At 49.5% G+C, this 16,994-nt stretch overlaps 1 protein-coding gene across 50 annotated transcripts in view; it reads left to right on the top strand.

Moving 5' to 3' along the window:
* The window catches only part of TACC2 (transforming acidic coiled-coil containing protein 2), a 265,380-nt gene that overhangs the window by 118,711 nt on the left and 129,675 nt on the right, over positions 1-16,994 (top strand). For 2 of the 50 annotated variants that reach the window (XM_047424466.1, NM_001291879.2), the window contains exon 1: positions 5,012-5,360. The exons of the other annotated variants lie outside the window; for them this stretch is intronic. The gene's annotated coding sequence lies outside the window, so the exon portion shown is untranslated. Of the gene's footprint in view, positions 1-5,011; positions 5,361-16,994 lie in introns of those variants that run through there. 50 annotated transcript variants of the gene reach the window in all.

The following is a 16,994-nucleotide window of genomic DNA, read 5'->3' on the forward strand; positions in this document are numbered from 1 at the left end:
ATATATATTTTTTTTTTCTTTTTTCTTTTTTTTTTTTTGAGACGGAGTCTCACTGTTGCCCAGACTGGAGTGCAGTGGTGCGATCTTGGCTCACTGCAAGCTCCGCCTCCTGGGTTCACGCCATTCTCCCTCCTCAGCCTCCCGAGTAGCTGGGACTACAGGCACCCACCACCACGCCCGGCTAATTTTTTGTATTTTTAGTAGAGATGGGGTTTCACCATGTTAGCCAGGATGGTCTCGATCTCCTGACCTCGTGATCCACCCGCCTCAGCCTCCCAAAGTGCTGAGATTACAGGCGTGAGCCACTGTGCCCGGCCAATTATATAATTCTTATGCCTTTGTGTCCACATAGCTTAGCTCCCACTTATGAATGAGAACATACAATGTTTTGTTTTTCATTTCTGAGTTACTTCACTTAGAATAATGGTCTCCAATTCCATCCATGTTGCTGCAAATGCCATTATTTTATTCCTTTTTATGGCTGAGTAGTATTCCATGCGCGCGCGCTCTCTCTTTCTCTCTCTCTCTATGTGTGTGTGTGTATATATATATGTGTATGTCATATTTTCTTTTTTTTTTTTTTTTTTTTGAGATGGAGTTCTAGTCTTGTCACCCAGGGTGGAGTGCAATGGTGCGATCTTGGCTCACTGCAACCTCTGCCTCCCAGGTTCAAGTGATTCTCCTACCTCAGCCTCCTGAGTAGCTGGGATTACAGGCACGTGCCACCATGCCCAGCTAATTTTTGTATGTTTAGTAGAGACGAGGTTTCACCATGTTGGCCAGGATGTTCTCAATCTCTTGACTCATGATCCACCTGCTTCGGCCTCCCAAAGTGCTGGGATTACAGGTGTGAGCCATCGCCCGGTCTTCTTTTTTTCTTTTCTTGAGTCTCGCTGCGTCACCAGGCTGGAGTGCAATGGTGCGATCCCGGCTCACTGCAGCCTCTGCCTCCCGGGTTCAAGTGATTCTCCTACCTCAGCCTCCCGAGTAGCTGCGATTATAGGCACGCGCCACCACGCCTGGCTAATTTTTTGTATTTTTAGTAGAGATGGGGTTTCACCACGTTGGCCAGGTTGGTCTCAAACTCCTGACCTCGTGATCCGCCCACCTCGGCCTCCCAGAGTGCTGGGATTACAGGCATGAGCCATGGCGCCTGGCCTACATTTTCTTTATCCACTTGTTAATTGATGGGCATTTGAGCTGGTTTCATATTTTTTCAGTTGCAAATTGTGCTGCTGTAAACATGCATGTACAAGTATCTTTTTTCATGTAATGACTTCTTTTCCTCTGGGTAGATAGCCAGGAGTGGGATTGCTGGATCGAATGGTAGATCTTCTTTAAGGAGTCTCTACACTGTTTTGTATAGTGGTTGTACTGGTTTACATTCAAAGTGTTCCCTTTTCATCTTATCCACACAAGCATCTATTATTTTTTAATTTTTTGAGAGTACATTCTTGCAGGAATGAGGTGGTTTTGATTTGCATTTCCCTGATAAAATGCACATTTCTGAACCCCTTTCCTGACGTACTGAATCAGAATGCCCGGGAGCCAGGCCCAGGAATTTGCATTTTAACATTAACCCGGTGAGTCTTATTGGCACTGAGTTTCAGTCCCACAGCCTGGGGTTCGTGGTTGTCTCCTATTGATATTTTCATGTCATAGATGTCCCTTCAGCAATGCTAGTCCTGTTGAGCAGAGGCTGGGGGCCCAAGAAGAATGAAGACTTTGACTTCAGAAATTCCCTTTCCAGCTCTTGCCTTTAGAGATTCAGACAGAAATATTAACTGATGCAGTGATGCTATCTGGCATTTGCTTCAAAACAATCTGGGTAGCAGAGGGAAAGTGGGATTGTGGATAAAATGGAATTAGCCATAATTTGATCATGTTGGATCTGGGTGTTATACATAGGGTGCCTTATCCGGTTCTCTCCACTTAAGTTTTTTAAAGTCTGCATTCCAGGGGCTTGCTCTGTCGCTATGCCGCCTTTGACCCTGGGTAAGTCCATCTCCTTCTTTGGGTTTCAGCATAAGTTCTCTATAAAATTAGTGTGTTTTCACATTTTCTTTTTTTCCCCTTCCCTCCGAATGAACCTCTTCTCCAAACAAAATCTTATGTAGAACTTAAAGATATGACAAAAGTCAAACAGCTCTCTTTGCAGGTGCTATGGATGCCTTTAAGATAACTCCAGAAACCCTAGGACTCTGCAGAAGATAGTTTAGCAGCTACTGTACTAGGGCCTTGCTGTAAACACATATATAGACCACCCTGATGCAGAACCATAGCCTGGTACTCAGGCAAAAAGAATCCTTGGGAAGTAAAGATTCAGCCATGGATGCAATTTCTAAGGCACGTGTTGCTGCCTGCAAGTCAGTCTTCAGTAGATTCCAGGTATCCCAAGACCGCACAAGCCTGCATCTTTCCTCCTCTGTACCATTACTGCATTGTTACCCTGACTTGGAGCAGGAGGGGATGGCAGTGCACATTTACTGTAGCTCTAGGTTCACTATCCAGGCAAGATTTCTGGTCGTGGCTAGGATCAGAGATGTGTGGGTTGGCCGAGAGTTTCTGATATCGACGTATTTCTGTCGTGTGGCAGGATTTGAGGCTCAGTACTGTATGATATTAGGAGCCCCTGACTTCATCTTCTAATGAGTTGGTCCTACATGGGACTATGGCTGTGTCCGAATGCTGGCTGCCCAAGACCACTGCACTGCCTGAGTTCAGTCATTCCTCACAGAGGTGCCGAGGTCAGCCTTCCTCGACCAGAGTGGTTCTCCTGCAGTGAATGACCTTAGACTCTGGAGATGTGAATGAAATCCTAGCTATCTTCTTAAAATCCTTCAAAGAAGGGATTAAGTCACAGTAATAACCAGGTACCTACTGCATTAGTTTCCTGTGATTGCCATAATAAATTACCACAAAACTAGTAATTTTGGCTTAAGACAACACAAATTTATTTTACTAGGAGCTGTGTAGGTGAAATGTCTAACATGGGTCTCACTGAGGTAAAATCAAGGTTTCGGTAGTGTTGTGTTCCTTTCTGGAAGCCCTCGAGGAAAAATCCACATTCGTGCTTTTTCCAGCTTCTAGAAGCCACTCACATTCCCTGGCTCGTGGTCCCTTCCTTCATCTTCAAAGTCAGCATCTTCTAATCTCTCGCTCACTGTGCTTCCATAGCCACATCTCTTTCTCTGACTCTCTTCTTCCTCCTCCTTCCAATTAAAGGACCTTCATGATGACATTGGGTCCACCTGGATACTCCAGGATAGCCTCCCTACTTTAAAGTCAGGTGATTAGCAACTTTAATTCCATCTACAACCTTCATTCCCCTTGTCATGTAACTTAACATATTCACAACTCCAGGGATGAAGATGTGGCCATCTTGCCGGGGCCTTCCTTTTGCCAACCATACAGACCTACCAGTAGATTTCGAAACAGAGTGGCACCTTCCTCTGTCTTGAAGGATGTGCATCTGTCAACTGGGAGGGGCTGTTTCACATGAACGGGATGGCACCTCAAGTTCATCTTAGCTCGTTGCCCAGTTGAGGTGCTGGAGCTTACATGGTGGTGAGTGGTGTATGTTTTTACCACAAATGGATATGACCCACAGGGCACAAGAACCTTTTGTTTTTGTTTGAGACGGAGTCTCGCTCTGTCGCCAGGCTGGAGTGCGGTGGTGCAACCTCGGCTCACTGCAACCTCCGACTCCCTGGTTTAAGCTATTCTCCTGCCTCAGCCTCCCGAGTAGCTGGGATTACAGGCACACACCATCATGCCCAGCTATTTTTTTTTTTGTATTTTTAGTAGAGACGGGGTTTCACCATGTTGGCCAGGATGGTCTCAATCTCCTGACCTCGTGATCTGTCCACCTCGGCCTCCCAAAGTGCTGGGATTATAGGGCACAAGAACCTTGAAGACTGGGCATTTCCATTCTCTCTTCACCGACAGCAGATGGTATACATTTAAACTAGCCTATTTGGGTCTCAGTTATCATACTTGTAAAATGGACACATTAATACGATACGAGGAAACCTGTGATAAGCATGTGAACAAGGAATCTATTTAAGTTTCCATAAAAAATGTGACTCTTAGAAGCACTGCGTTATTTAAAAAACAATATTTTCGCAGAAGGCAGTAACAGTCTATTTCTTTATTCTACAGAGAATCCTCATTAGGGGCTCGTAAGATCTGTTTCTTTAAGAGGAGGAAAGGAAGTGCTGAGTAATTTCTGAGTCTCATGCCCTTTGGTCCCTGAGTATATAATCTATAGCAGTGCTTTCTGTGACACTAAAAATGGGAAGCCTGCTGTCTATATATAGTCACGGGCTCTTCATGATTGGGGCCTAGCTGCAGAAATTTCTAGAGAAAAGGTGATATGCCATGGTGTTGGCAGGTAAGCACCACTTCTGGGTGTGAGGTCCATGTCAGTGAAGGAGTTAGTTAGGCCCTTAAAGGAAAACAGACCTCACATGCCAATAGATACATAACTCCTAGAAATATGGCAGCTGGAATTGGTTTGGATTTAGCCTCTGCCGACTTCAGAGTGTGCAACAGCCAAATAGAACGCACGTCAAGTTTTGCAAACTGTCCAGCACAGCCCGCGCTGTTTCTGTGGTTAAGCGCCATTAATACCACACAGGTGAAGAAAAAAGGGCCGGAATTTGGCTCCAGGAACAAGCGAGGCACCATTTCACCCCCAGCTTCTTTCTGAGGCTCCTGGGTAGCCTCAGGCGGGCAACGGCCCCGCAGAGGAAGCGCGGGCCGCCTGGCCGGTACTTGACCTTCCCAGTCCGTTCTCACGCCACAGCCTTCCCGGCGTTGCCATGCGTAGTGGGAAGGCCGTGGACAAACTAAGAACAGTAACAAGTTGTCATGACTCAGAGACTCCTGGAAGTCTGCAGCGCCTCCAGGAGCAGCGGCCGGGCTGTGCGTCCATCGGTCCGTGCGTCTCTCGCCTGCCGCTCTGCGGCCGCGGGCCCCTCGGTGCGTCTGGGCGCGCCCGGCCCCGCGCATTCCTGGCCGGGGAGGAGAGCGCGGCGGGCGCCCTGCGCGAGCAGCTGGCCGAGCGCTGCCCCGGGTCGGAGAGCCCAGAGCTGGGGGAGGAGCCTGGCCCGGCAGCCGCCGCTCGCCCAGTCATTGGCCTTTTGTGCTGCAACTTTTCCCGAGCCTTTCGGGGAGCCACGCCGGCCCTGCGCCGTTGTCCCGGGAAACTTTGCGTCCCAGGGCCGCACCGGACCGTGGTGACCCCACGCGCCGCGCCGCCACCGGGCTCGGAAAACCCAGCGCCCCCGGGCTCTTTGGCAGTTGCGACTCCGAACGAAGGCGGCTCCGTGCGGGCCATCCCCTATCTCCCCGGGCGGGTAAGTGCCGGGGCCACGGGCGGGCGGCCGGGGTCAGAAGATGGGCGCCCGAAGGACCTTGGCCCCCAGACAAAGGCGTACTGGAAGTGGCCAAAGCTCATTTCGGCTTTCCCCGGCAGGGACTGGCCGAGGGTGGAAAAGTGGCTAACTGCACATTCGGTCCCCTGCTGGCAGAGGAGTGTGGCTGCGGGGAAACCGCGGGCCCCAGAGTGTCTGCCCAGGAGCCTGGTTCCCTTGAGTGGGAGCGCGGGGGTCAAAGCCCGTGGTTCGGGGCGCGCGCCAGTGGCTGGGATTCCCGCTCGCGGTTGGGGTCCCCGCGCGTGGTTGTGGTTGGCGCCCGTGACCAGGCTCCCTGCCAGGGTTGGGGTCCCGCCCTTGGGGGCCTCCGCGCCTTCCCACCGGGCTCTTTCCCAGCTCGTGTGGTCCTACTGGGTCGCGTGGGGGCATCCCCGGCGGGCCACGACGGCGCGTGGACTAGCCATAAAACTCTGCGCTGGATTTCCTCCGAGTTTGGGACTTTTAAATTCTCGAATAGTTACGTCAGCAGGGCCGAGCGCACTTCGGGGATCCGGCGCAACACGTGACCCGCCCGAGCGTCCCCTCCGCGTCCTTGGCTCCCGCCGCAGAGTGCGCCTCTGCCTCGGGGTGTCCTCGAAATCCAGTGTCGGGGCGCTGGGATTTGCTGCCCAGGCTCCGAGCGCCGAATACACCACGCTGTGGCCAGGTGTCCTCTTCAATCCTGGTCTTTTCTTAAAATGGCTTCATCATCATCACTGTTACTGTTGTTGCTATCTTCAGGCTCTGTCAAATGCTGGGACAGGAGAATGTGATAGCGGGTTGAAATACAGCTGAAATAGACATTGTGGAGGGGAAATGGAAGCGGGGCCTAAGGAGGGGCGGCTGGAGAGGATGGGGGGCCCTCGTGTCACAGGACGTGGGACATTGAGGATCCTAGGGCAGTTTCCTGTGCTATGCCAGAGGAAGGTGCGGCTCTGTTACCGGAGAGAACTCTCCCCATTCTTACTTCTCTGATTCCTTATTGAGGCCACATTTTAAAAGCCGTTTCCATGATATCTGGAAATGACTTTTTTTCCGGGACTGTGACGTGAGGCAGTGTTTGGTCTGTGAGATGCACGTGCAGATTAACAGTTGAATCTTAAGCAGTGTTTTTAGGGTTGACAGTTGATGGAACTTAGAGGAAGGGTTTTGTTGAAAATTGCACAGTGAGTTCCCTCCCGGAGCAGCTGGCTTTCCCTTCTCAGGCCAGGCGGGAGGGCCTCCTGAGAATGGGACCAGTTGAGCCAGGCGGGTGAGTGGATTCCCACGGGGCTCTTTCTCACAGGCTCTGCCTGGGACTAATTCTCCGGGAAGGAAATCGGAGCAGCAAATAGGCCAGCAGCCACCCTCCTTGTGCAAATGCCACAGCAACTCAGCTACCCAGAGTCACTAGTCTCTCATCAAAAGTTACATCCCAAGCCTCAGAAGTGTGATCATGGAATATGACCTGCTTGTATTATAGTTATTCATATACCGGTGTTATGGAACTGCCTTATGGAAATCTTCAGGTCAAATGCTGCCGCCTCTGTGGAACCTAGACAGGATTAGCCCCTTGTCTCTCCGTTCCAGCCGTCCTCTTTTCTCTCTTAAAAAAATAATGTTCAAGAAACGTGCTTGAACATTTAAAATATTTTAGCAAGAAGGAAAGTTAAAGATCAAGGTTTCGTTTTACAGATACGAAAAGAGAGACTCAAAGAAGTCCAGGGTCTTGGCCAGGGCCACACATCAAGGTAGGACTCCAACCCCAGACCGCAGACACTTGCCCTGGTGTTCTCTGCGCCAAGTCCTGCGGCCTCGTTGGTTTTATTCGGCTTTGTATCCTGGTTATTTGTGTTTGATGCTTTTATGGAGACAGACACTGCTTGAGGAAGGATATGTCTGGTTCACAATGCCACGCCACAAGAGTAACACAGAGCCTGGGAGGTAGATGGTGGTTGAATTGAATGACACAGCCCCCACCTTCAAGGAGGTAGGTAGGTGAGTGTGTGTGTGTGTGTGTGTGTGTGTGTGTGTGTGTGTGTGTGTGTGTGAGATACCTGAGCATGCACATATGGGGCAGGCTTTGTGGTGAAGGATAATGCCCCAGGAGGGGATGTCTGGAAATGTGGGAGGATATTTTTGGTTGTTCCAGTGACTAGGGAGGGAACTGCTATTAGGAGGATATTTTTGGTTGTCCCAGTGACTGGGGAGGATGCTATTGGCGTCTAGTGGGGGAGGGCTAGGGTCACTCTCATGTGAGAGTCCTGCACAGCAGAGAATTGCCTCACCCCAATGCCAATAGCATCTCAATAGAGGATGCTGCCAGGCTTTGAGGAATCATGAGAGACAGTTCTAATTGGGAGGATGAAAGAAAGGGTCTCTGGGCTTGCCCAGCTCTGGGCTGTAAGCGTAGATGAGACTGGAAGAGAATGAGGGCTTGATGGGGAGCACCTGTGTGTGTGTATGTGCATATGTGTACATGCATGTGTGGGTGTATTTTTTTTTTTCAGGACTTGGTTCCATAGCCAAAAGCGAAGCGTTCTTGGATTTACTGTAGCTGGGGTTTAGCAGGTCCTTGCAACTTTTGCACAGATGATCAGGAGGTGGTTTAGGAAGCTGGCAATAAAATCAGTAACTAGTGCTGGCTAGAGGAGCATAGAGATGGCTGCAGGGCTGGGTGCCCTCATTTATCCCCTTGTGACCAAGGTCTGTGAAATCCATTTTGGTGGCTAGCTGTGTTTTTTTTCTGCCTCTCCCCTATTGAGGTCGCAGTCCTTGGTTCATAACCCCAGTAATCATGTTCACATCAACTCCCTGCGATGACAGAACATGTTGAGGATTATGAAATCATTCAGGAGAAACGAGAGGCCTGAGAAGGAAGACCCAGGGAAACCAAAGTTTGCAGAGCAATGCATCTGAAAAACAGAGGAGCAAGTGAAATTCTCCAGGGAATGTAGAGCAGCCGACCCTTTGTAATGGAGGTGTCATTTCAGATGTGTTGAGTGTCAGCTCTGTCCCCATCCCTCTGTCCGCTATCCACAGTGTTATAGAGTTTCAGTCTGTCACTTTGCAAGTGTATTCATGGCTGCTAATTGAGATAAAGCAAAGTCCCCAAGACTTATTTTCCTTAGGTTGGGGAAGGGCAGTATTGAGAAAGCCCAGAATTTATAGACAAAGATCCTATATTGGAGTTCTTGCCCTACCCCTTACCAGCTGTGTGACCTTGAGCAAGTCGTGACGTTGTGAACTGTCTGAGTCACCTTCCTTCTCGTGGATGGTGGGGCCGCTTATCCCTGCCCACCTGGCTCTCGAAGCTGGGGAGGCCAGTGAAGTCATGCACATGAATATACTTGATAAACAAACTGTAAAGGGCTGTGCAAATGGAAAGTCAGTGGTGTTCATATTTTTCATCTGGTTATGATTAAAAGTACTGATTTAGGGGAGCTCAATTTCCTAACACCTGCTGTAGCCTGTGTGCATTAGTGTTGTTTTTAAATGCAAACCAGGAGACATACTATGAAACGCAGTTCTTCCTTATTTAGAAGCTGTGTATTGACTCTGCCGTCCATGAGCTGGTTGTCTCGGCTTCCTTTTTGTTCATCCTACCTTGCTTTGCCACTCTCCTTTCTTTCTTTTTTTTTTTTGAGACCGTCTTGCTGCATGAGTGAGTGAGTGCAAAGCCCTTCACACAACACCTGGCAAACAGAAGTGCTCACAATGTGAGTGGCCCTTATGACTGCTATTATCATTAATACTTTTATTGTAATGATTTAAATTTGTTACAGTATTTCATATATATTCAAATTTTGCCACCAGCAGCAAAATCAGCATGCTCACAACATTAAATCAAGTCCCTCAAATCTCAGGGCCGCAGTTTCTCCTCTGCTCCTGGGAGAGGTCAACCTCTCTGGTCTTAGAAATCTTTTTTTTTTTTTTTTTTCTTTGAGACAGAGTCTCGCTCTGTCACCAGGCTGGAGTGCAGTGGCGTGATCTCGGCCCACTGCAACCTCTGCCTCCTGGGTTCAAGTGATTCTCCTGCCTCAGCTCCACAGCAGCTGGGACTACAGGTGTGCACCACCATGCCCGGCTAATTTTTTGTATTTTTAGTAGAGACGGGGATTTGCCATGTTTCCCAGGCTGGTCTCGAACTCCTGCTGTCAAGTTATCTGCCCAGCTCGGCCTCCCAAAATGCTGGGATTACAGGTGTGAGCCACCGCACCCAGCTGCCACCCTCTCTTTTAATTGTTCATTTATATTTTGCCTAGAAAATAAGTACAAACACACGAATATGGGGCTCTTGTTAGGTCTGCTGACCTGGGGAGAAATAAATGGAAAGAGAAAGCAGCTGCCCCATTGGCTCATCTCAGGTTATTTACAGTCCCGCTAATTCTTGTCATTCTGTGGTTGTGTCCACGCTTGGTCCTCTGAGGTCCAGGAGCTATTCTAGTGTCTGCATCATTTAGAATAGAAGGCTCCTGGCTAGCATTCTTGCACTGAAGCTCCTTGAGGGCATGGGGGGTTGGTTTCATATCATGACTGTTCCCCCAGTGGGGCACATTCTAAATTGACAAGAGACAGTAAGCAGCTAGGCCATATGGCCATCAATAGGATCTTTTTTCTTCCTCCTTTTATACCCAGGACACCCCTCCCTCCATCCCTTGGGCTTGCTGTGGCTCCTACTTTCTGGCTCCCTGCTTCACACAGAACAGGAAAAGATTGAACATTACCTTTGTTTTTCTCTTTTTCTTTTTTTTTTTTTTTTGAGATGGAGTCTTACTCTGTTGTCCGGGCTGGAGTGCAGTGGTGCCATCTCAGCTCACGGCAACCCCTGCTTCCCCGGGTTCAAACTGTTCTCCTGCTTCAGCCTCCCAAGTAGCTGGGACTACAGGCATGTGCCACCATGCCCGGCTAATTTTTGTATTTTTAGTAGAGTTGGAGTTTCACCATGTTGGCTGGGCTGGTCTTGAACTCCTGACCTCAGGCCATCCGGCCGCCTCGGCCTCCCAAAGTGCTGGGATTACAGGTGTGAGCCACCGCGCCCAGCCTGGACGTTACCTTTCTTACCTTGACTGAAACTGGTTCATCCCAGCAACTTAGCTGGCCCAGGACTCTGCATTCTGGAACTCCCAGGTTGTCTTGTGGTCAGCCGTGTGCCAAGGTCTCTCTCTGACGGCTAACAACCCCTGCGTCATTGCTCTCTGCATCCTCAGTACCTTGTATTGTGTTTGGCAGAACAGATTTTCGTCAGTTCTTGTTGAATCAGTTAATGAATCGTCTCCTCTCTTGAACTATAGGCTCTAAGGCTTTGCTTTTTGTTCAGGGTCTAGACCTGGTTGCATTGCAGGGAGAGGAAATGGAGGTAATTTTGCTGCTTGTGTGGTTTTGGAATCAGGGAAAATCTGTAACTCTGCTAAGATGCTGAGGACTGAGTGACATTTTTTTAAACACCAACTAAAATTTTGCCTCATCTATATAAGAATACTGGTGGCATTTGTTGAGACTTCAGTTTGTTGTTTGTGGGCTGAGTGGCCTGTTCTCAGCCTGAAAAAGTTAGAGAGGAAGCTGATTGTGGCCTGAATTAAGTGTTAGCTAGACAGATCTGGTGGCAGAGGCTATTAATATCATTCTGTTAGTGCTATTTTCCATGAACCCATACTGTGTATTGAGGACCTGTAGTGAGATGATGCTATGCTTTACATGTTTTTTAAATTGTGATTAAACAAACCACATAAGATGTACCATCATAACCATTTTTAAGTGTACAGTTTGGTGGTAAGTATATTCATATTATTGTGAAACATCTCCAGAACTTACTCATCTTGCCAATCTGAACGACTGTATCCATTAAACAACAATTTCCCTTCTTCCCTTCTCTCCCCAGACCCTGGTAACACTATTAGACTTTCTATTTCTACATATATTTTTTCCTCTTATTTCTTTTAACAGTCTTTCAAGTAATGCATTTATCTCCATTTTACAGGTTCAGAAACTGAAGCTCAAAGAGGTTAATGAACTTGCCTAGGGCTTATAAATGGCGAGTAAGTGGCAGAGCTGGATTCAGGCTCAGATCTATGTCCAGAGTCTGTGCTCTTTGTACTATACTTGCTGCCCCTGCCCACCTAAGCCCCTGGACCCTCCATGTGATTTCTGTGCCCAGTGTTCTGGTGAGTCAGCGCACCTGTGGATTTGGTGCACTGGCTTTGGGCATCCTCAGCTGAGATCTTGATCCCAGAGGGGCTGGTCCGTTCAGCTGGCTTTGTGCTGTTTTGATCAGGAGGACAGCTACACTTTCACTCACCTGACTGTATAGCTTCTCCCAGCATCTGGCTGAGTTTATTTGTCATCTTTTGAGAAGAACATCAGGCTGGGTATCGTGGCTCACTCCTGTAATCCCAGCATGTTGGGAGGCCAAGACGGGTGGATCACCAAAGGTCAGGAGTTCAAGACCAGCCTGGCCAACATGGCAAAACCCTGTTCCTACTGAAAATATAAATGTTAGCTGGACTGGGTGTGGTGGTATGCACCCGTCATCTCAGCTACTCGGGAGGCTGACGCAGGAGAATTGCTTAAACCCGGGAGGCAGAGGTTGCAGTGAGTCAAGATCGCGCTGCTGTACTCTGGCCTGGGCAACAGAGTGAGACTCCTTCTCAAAAGAAAAAAAAAAAAAAGAAAAAGAAAAAAAGGAAGAACATTGGCTGCCGGCTCCCTGCCTTGTCCTCCCGGAGTAATTTCCTCTCCTTTGAGCTTGCCGTAAAATTCGGTCCTTGGGCTCATTAATCCCAAAGGATGCGGAAACAACAGTAGTCCAATTTTAAGAGGTGATTAAATTGTGTATGAGGAGAAGGTTCCCCCTCCGTCCTGCAACTCGCCCGTCCTCACAGTAAGGTCTCCTGGGGAGCTGGAGCTGTGAGTCAGCAGGTCACCCCCTGCCTCCCGTCCTTAACTCCCAACCAGAAGCTGCCCTGCTCCCCCGCCTGGCCTAGGGGTTGGGCCAACGTGGGCACTGCTCACAGCCTCCTCCAAGCTGACCTTTCTCAGCCAGGAGACCCTGGGTTTCAGATCAGAAAATTGTTTGGGCTGGAGGGTACCCTAGAGAGAATAGTCGAAACCCTCATTAGGTGGAAGAGGCACCCGCAGCCCTGGGAGGGGAAGGGTCTTATGCCCCCACCCCCTGGTGGTTAGAGCCACCGCGGGTGCCCTGGCTGGTTGCGCACACCCTCTTCCTAGGGAGGCAGCACCCACTTGGCTCTCAGCACGCCACTCCCTCTTTGTCGCACATCATGAGTCGACGCTGCTCTGAGGCTGTAGGGTCCTTCGCTGAGAGAGTCAGAGCAGCTGGGATGGAGCTCAGCCTCGTGCGGCCTTGGGGAGAGGGACTTTCTGCTGTCACATTGCTCACAGTGATGAAGGGCCTGCATAGAGCCTGGCGCATGCTAGGTGCTCATAAACATTGATTCCCTTCACTTGTTGCCACCTGTATTCATTCTTTCTTTCTTTCTTTTTTTTTTTGAGACGGAGTCCTGCTCTGTCGTCCAGGCTGGAGTGCAGTGGCGCGATCTCAGCTCAGCTCACTGCAACCTCCGCTTCCCGGGTTCAAGTGATTCTCCTGCCTCAGCCTCCCGAGTAGCTGGATTATAGATGCGTGCCACCATGCCCAGCTAATTTTTGCATTTTTTGGTACAGAGGGGGTTTCGCCTTGTTGGCCAGGCCAAAATCCTGACCTCAGGTGATTTGCCCTCCTTGGGCTCCCAAAGTGCTGGGATTACAGGCGTGAACCACCACACCTGGCCCTGTATTCATTCTTAATCCACACCCCAGTTGATATTCACATAGAGCCTGGGGTGCCTGAAGGAGCAGCCTGTGCACCTGAGACTCACACCTGGATGTGCAGGAGAGGCGGGAGGGAGGGTCATGTGTACTTTGAAACAGTACATTCTGTATTTTGTGTTTGGGAAACAGTACATCCTGTAGTGTTTGTCTTAATGACGCCAGCATTTGTGGAGCACTTTGCGTGTGCTGGGCACCTTGCTACAGAAACATTCGCATGACTGGTCACAAGGCATCCTCTCCACTCCCTCTCCAGGAAGGACTGTCATTGCCATCTTTGACAGATGAGGATACTGAGGCTCCGAGAGGATCTTTTTCAAGGTTGTACAGCTCTTTATTGCTGGAGTGGGGTCAGGCTTGGGCAGTCTGGCCCCGGGCTCTGGCCTCCTATCACCTGCCCTATCCTACCTCTCCAGGGGGAGGAGGAATGGCATTTTATTTCTTCATCTGTGAAGGCTCCCAGGCATCACAGGAGTATCTAAAAAATGTCTGGGACTTTAAAAAATTTGGCTTCAAAATGTGACAAGCGCTGCTTATAATTGAAACGGGCAAATGTGCACTTTGACGTGGCTGCAAAGCATCACATTGTATCAGCCTCATTGGCTTCTGGGCCTGGGCCTCTTCCTTGGTTCATTCATTCCAGTAAATGCATTGCTGGCTGTGGGCTAAGAATTCAGCAGGGAAGGTAGAGGTCCCTGCCCTGTTGTTGGTGGTCACGATTCCCCTGCTGGCTCTGCCATCTCTTCCTGCCCTGCCAGAGGCCTCTGCTGCCTCCCATGCCTCCCCTGGGGCTGTGCCGCTGAACTCTGGACAGGAGCTATGGCATGCCCACTAGAGGAAAGACCTGGCGGGGAGGGGGATGGCAGCATGGGTTTCCAGGCGAGGACAGGTCCAGGGTTCTCGCCATGGGTCTCTTTGCCAAGTCGCTTAATTCCTTGAGTCTCGATCTCCTCTCCTCTTCTATAAAATAACTTGTTAGCCAGGCGCGGTGGCTCACGCCTGTAATCCCAGCACTCTGGGAGGCCGAGGCGGGTGGATCACGAGGTCAGGAGATCGAGACCATCCTGGCTAACACGGTGAAACTCCGTCTCTACTAAAAATACAAAAAATTAGCCGGGTGTGGTGGTGGGCACCTATAGTCCCAGCTACTCAGGAGGCTGAGGCAGGAGAATGGCGTGAACCCGGGAGGCGGAGCTTGCACTGAGCCGAGATCGTGCCACTGTACTCCAGCCGGGGCGACAAGAATGAAACTCCGTCTCAAAAAATAAATAAATAAATAAATAACTTGTCTGCCTTCTTCATAGCAGTGATGAGGAATCATAAAAGTGGCATTTAACAAAGCTCTAAGATACCATACACATATAAGTAACTAAGTATTTTTTTAAAAATAATTCCTTTTTTTTTTTTTAATAGCTGAAGGCTAAATCTTTAAATTGCTAGGCTTTCTCATCCGAGAGTGGAAAATCTCTGTTCTCCCTGCGTGGGCTCCAGGGTCCGTTTGATAAGCTGCTTTCCCCGGGGTCCTGTGGGAGACAGCTTCTTGTTCCTTAGCTTGAGTCAGGCCCAGAGCATGCTGTGGGATTTCCTGGCTCCTGTGCTCTTGGACGCGGGTCCCAGTCCTGACTCTGTTCTTCGCCCTCTTAAGGGGAGGGGCTGCATGAGTGAGTGTGTGCAGAGCCCTTCGCACAACACCTGGCAAACAGAAAGAAGTGCTTACAATGTGAGCTGCCCTTATGACTGCTGTTATCATTAATTCTTTTATTGTAATTATTTAAATGTGCTATAATATTTCATATATATTCAAATTTTATCACCAAAAATAAAATCAGCATGCTTGCAACATAGATGAAGTCCCTCAAATCTCAGGGCCATAGTTTCTCCTCTGCTGCTGAGAGAGGTTGGCCTCTCTGGTTTTGGAGATCATTTTTTTGAGAGAGTTTCACTCACCCAGGCTGGAGTGCAGTGGCACAATCTCAGCTCACTGCAACCCCTACTTCCCAGGTTCAAGTGATTCTCATGCCTCAGCTTCCAGAGTAGCTGGGACCACAGGTGCACGCCAACACACCCGGCTAATTTTTTTGTATTTTTAGTACAGACAGGGTTTTGTGATATTGGCCAGGCTGGTCTCGAACTCCTGGGCTGAAGTGATTCACCCACCTCGGCCTCCCAAAGTGCTGGGATTACAGCTGTGAGCCACCGCGCCTGGCCTGGTCTTAGAAATCTTGTTACTCACCTGGCCCCACTCCATGCCTGGCCTGCAGGGATGCCACAGGCCACACTTGTCCACCCATTTTCCAGATCCAGAAGAGATGAGTTGTTTTTCATCATCACTAAAAAGCACAATGTGCTTACCCCGAGGGACCTGGGGAACCCACCTTTCAAAGCGCAGCTGGGGTCTGTGGGCCCCTCACCCAGAGGAATGCCAAGGGTGGCTCTGAAAAGGATGCCCTGTGTGTTCCGCATGTCGTGGTGCCTGTGCTGTGGCTTCTAACTGGTCAGTTCGGTCATGCCCAGCCTAGAACTGGCCATGAAAATGCAGATCTTGGAAGATTCCATTTTGCTGACTTATGACAGCCTTTGCTTCTCTTTTCAAAACTGATGTGAGCCCCTGGGGCTCAGCTTTCACTCTGTTGGTGAGAACTATGCCGGTGTTCTGAAGTGGGGTGCACAGTTTCCAGGGAGTCTGTTCTTGAGTTGGGTTGCTGTAGAGTCATTTTTTTTTTTTTTTTTTTTTGAGGCGGAGTTTCACTCTTCTTGCCCAGGCTGGAGTGCAGTGGCACAATCTCGGCTCACTGCAACCTCCGCCTCCCAGGGTTAAGCAATTCTCTTGCCTCAGCCTCCAGAGTAGCTGGGATTACAGGCACGCGCCACCATGCCTGGCTAATTTTTGTATTTTTAGTAGAGATGGGGTTTCACCATGTTGGCCAGGCTGGTCTCGAACTCCTGGCCTCGTGATCTGCCCGCCACGGCCTCCCAAAGTGCTGCGATTATAGTCATGAGCCACTGCACCTGGCCTCTTTAATCTTTATTAAACATAAATCAGTAATAATACCGGAGGTCTAAGGTTTTATGTGCAAGGCATGCAGTTAATAACATAGCCTTCCAACCATTAGATGTTCAAAACCCAAATCATCTTTGTTCTTCATGTCCCTTCCCTCTGCACCTAGTGTCAGGTAGATGTCATGAAGCCTCTGGAACAACTAACTCCACCTCCTCTGCAGTGGTCCCAGTGTGTCCTGCATCACCTGGCACCTGAACTGTTCCAAAGCTCTCACTTCGGCTCCACTGCCTGCATTTCTTGCCCCCTCCAATTAGTCTCCACTGTGGCACAGGCATTATCTTCTGAATATTCTGTCACTGGCCTGCGTTTAAATCTCTCATGTTCCCCATCGCCCCAGGACAACAGGCTCATGGTCTGAGCGTCTGAGGTTCCGGGGCCCCTGTCACACTGGCCCCAGCCCCAAGTGTCCAGCTAGGTGTCCCCCCAGCTGCCTGATGCTGCCGAAGTGGCTGGCATATCACGCTGTGTCCTCCAGACCCAAACGGAGCTCCATGTGTGCTGGGGAGTGGCTGTTTGCCTGCACGCCTTTGCCCAAGAAGTTCTTATTTGTTTGTCCTGAGTACAATTCCTGATTTACAGAAAAGTTGTAAGAATACTACAAAAAACTTCCATGTTCCCTTTCCCCGATTCCGCAGTCATTGACATTTTATCACATGTGCTGTGACGTTCATCCTCTCTCTATATGAGTAATATAAATGTATATGTACCTA

The sequence above is a fragment of the Homo sapiens genome, chromosome 10 (genome assembly GCF_000001405.40).
Source record: "Homo sapiens chromosome 10, GRCh38.p14 Primary Assembly".
NCBI lineage: Eukaryota > Metazoa > Chordata > Mammalia > Primates > Hominidae > Homo > Homo sapiens.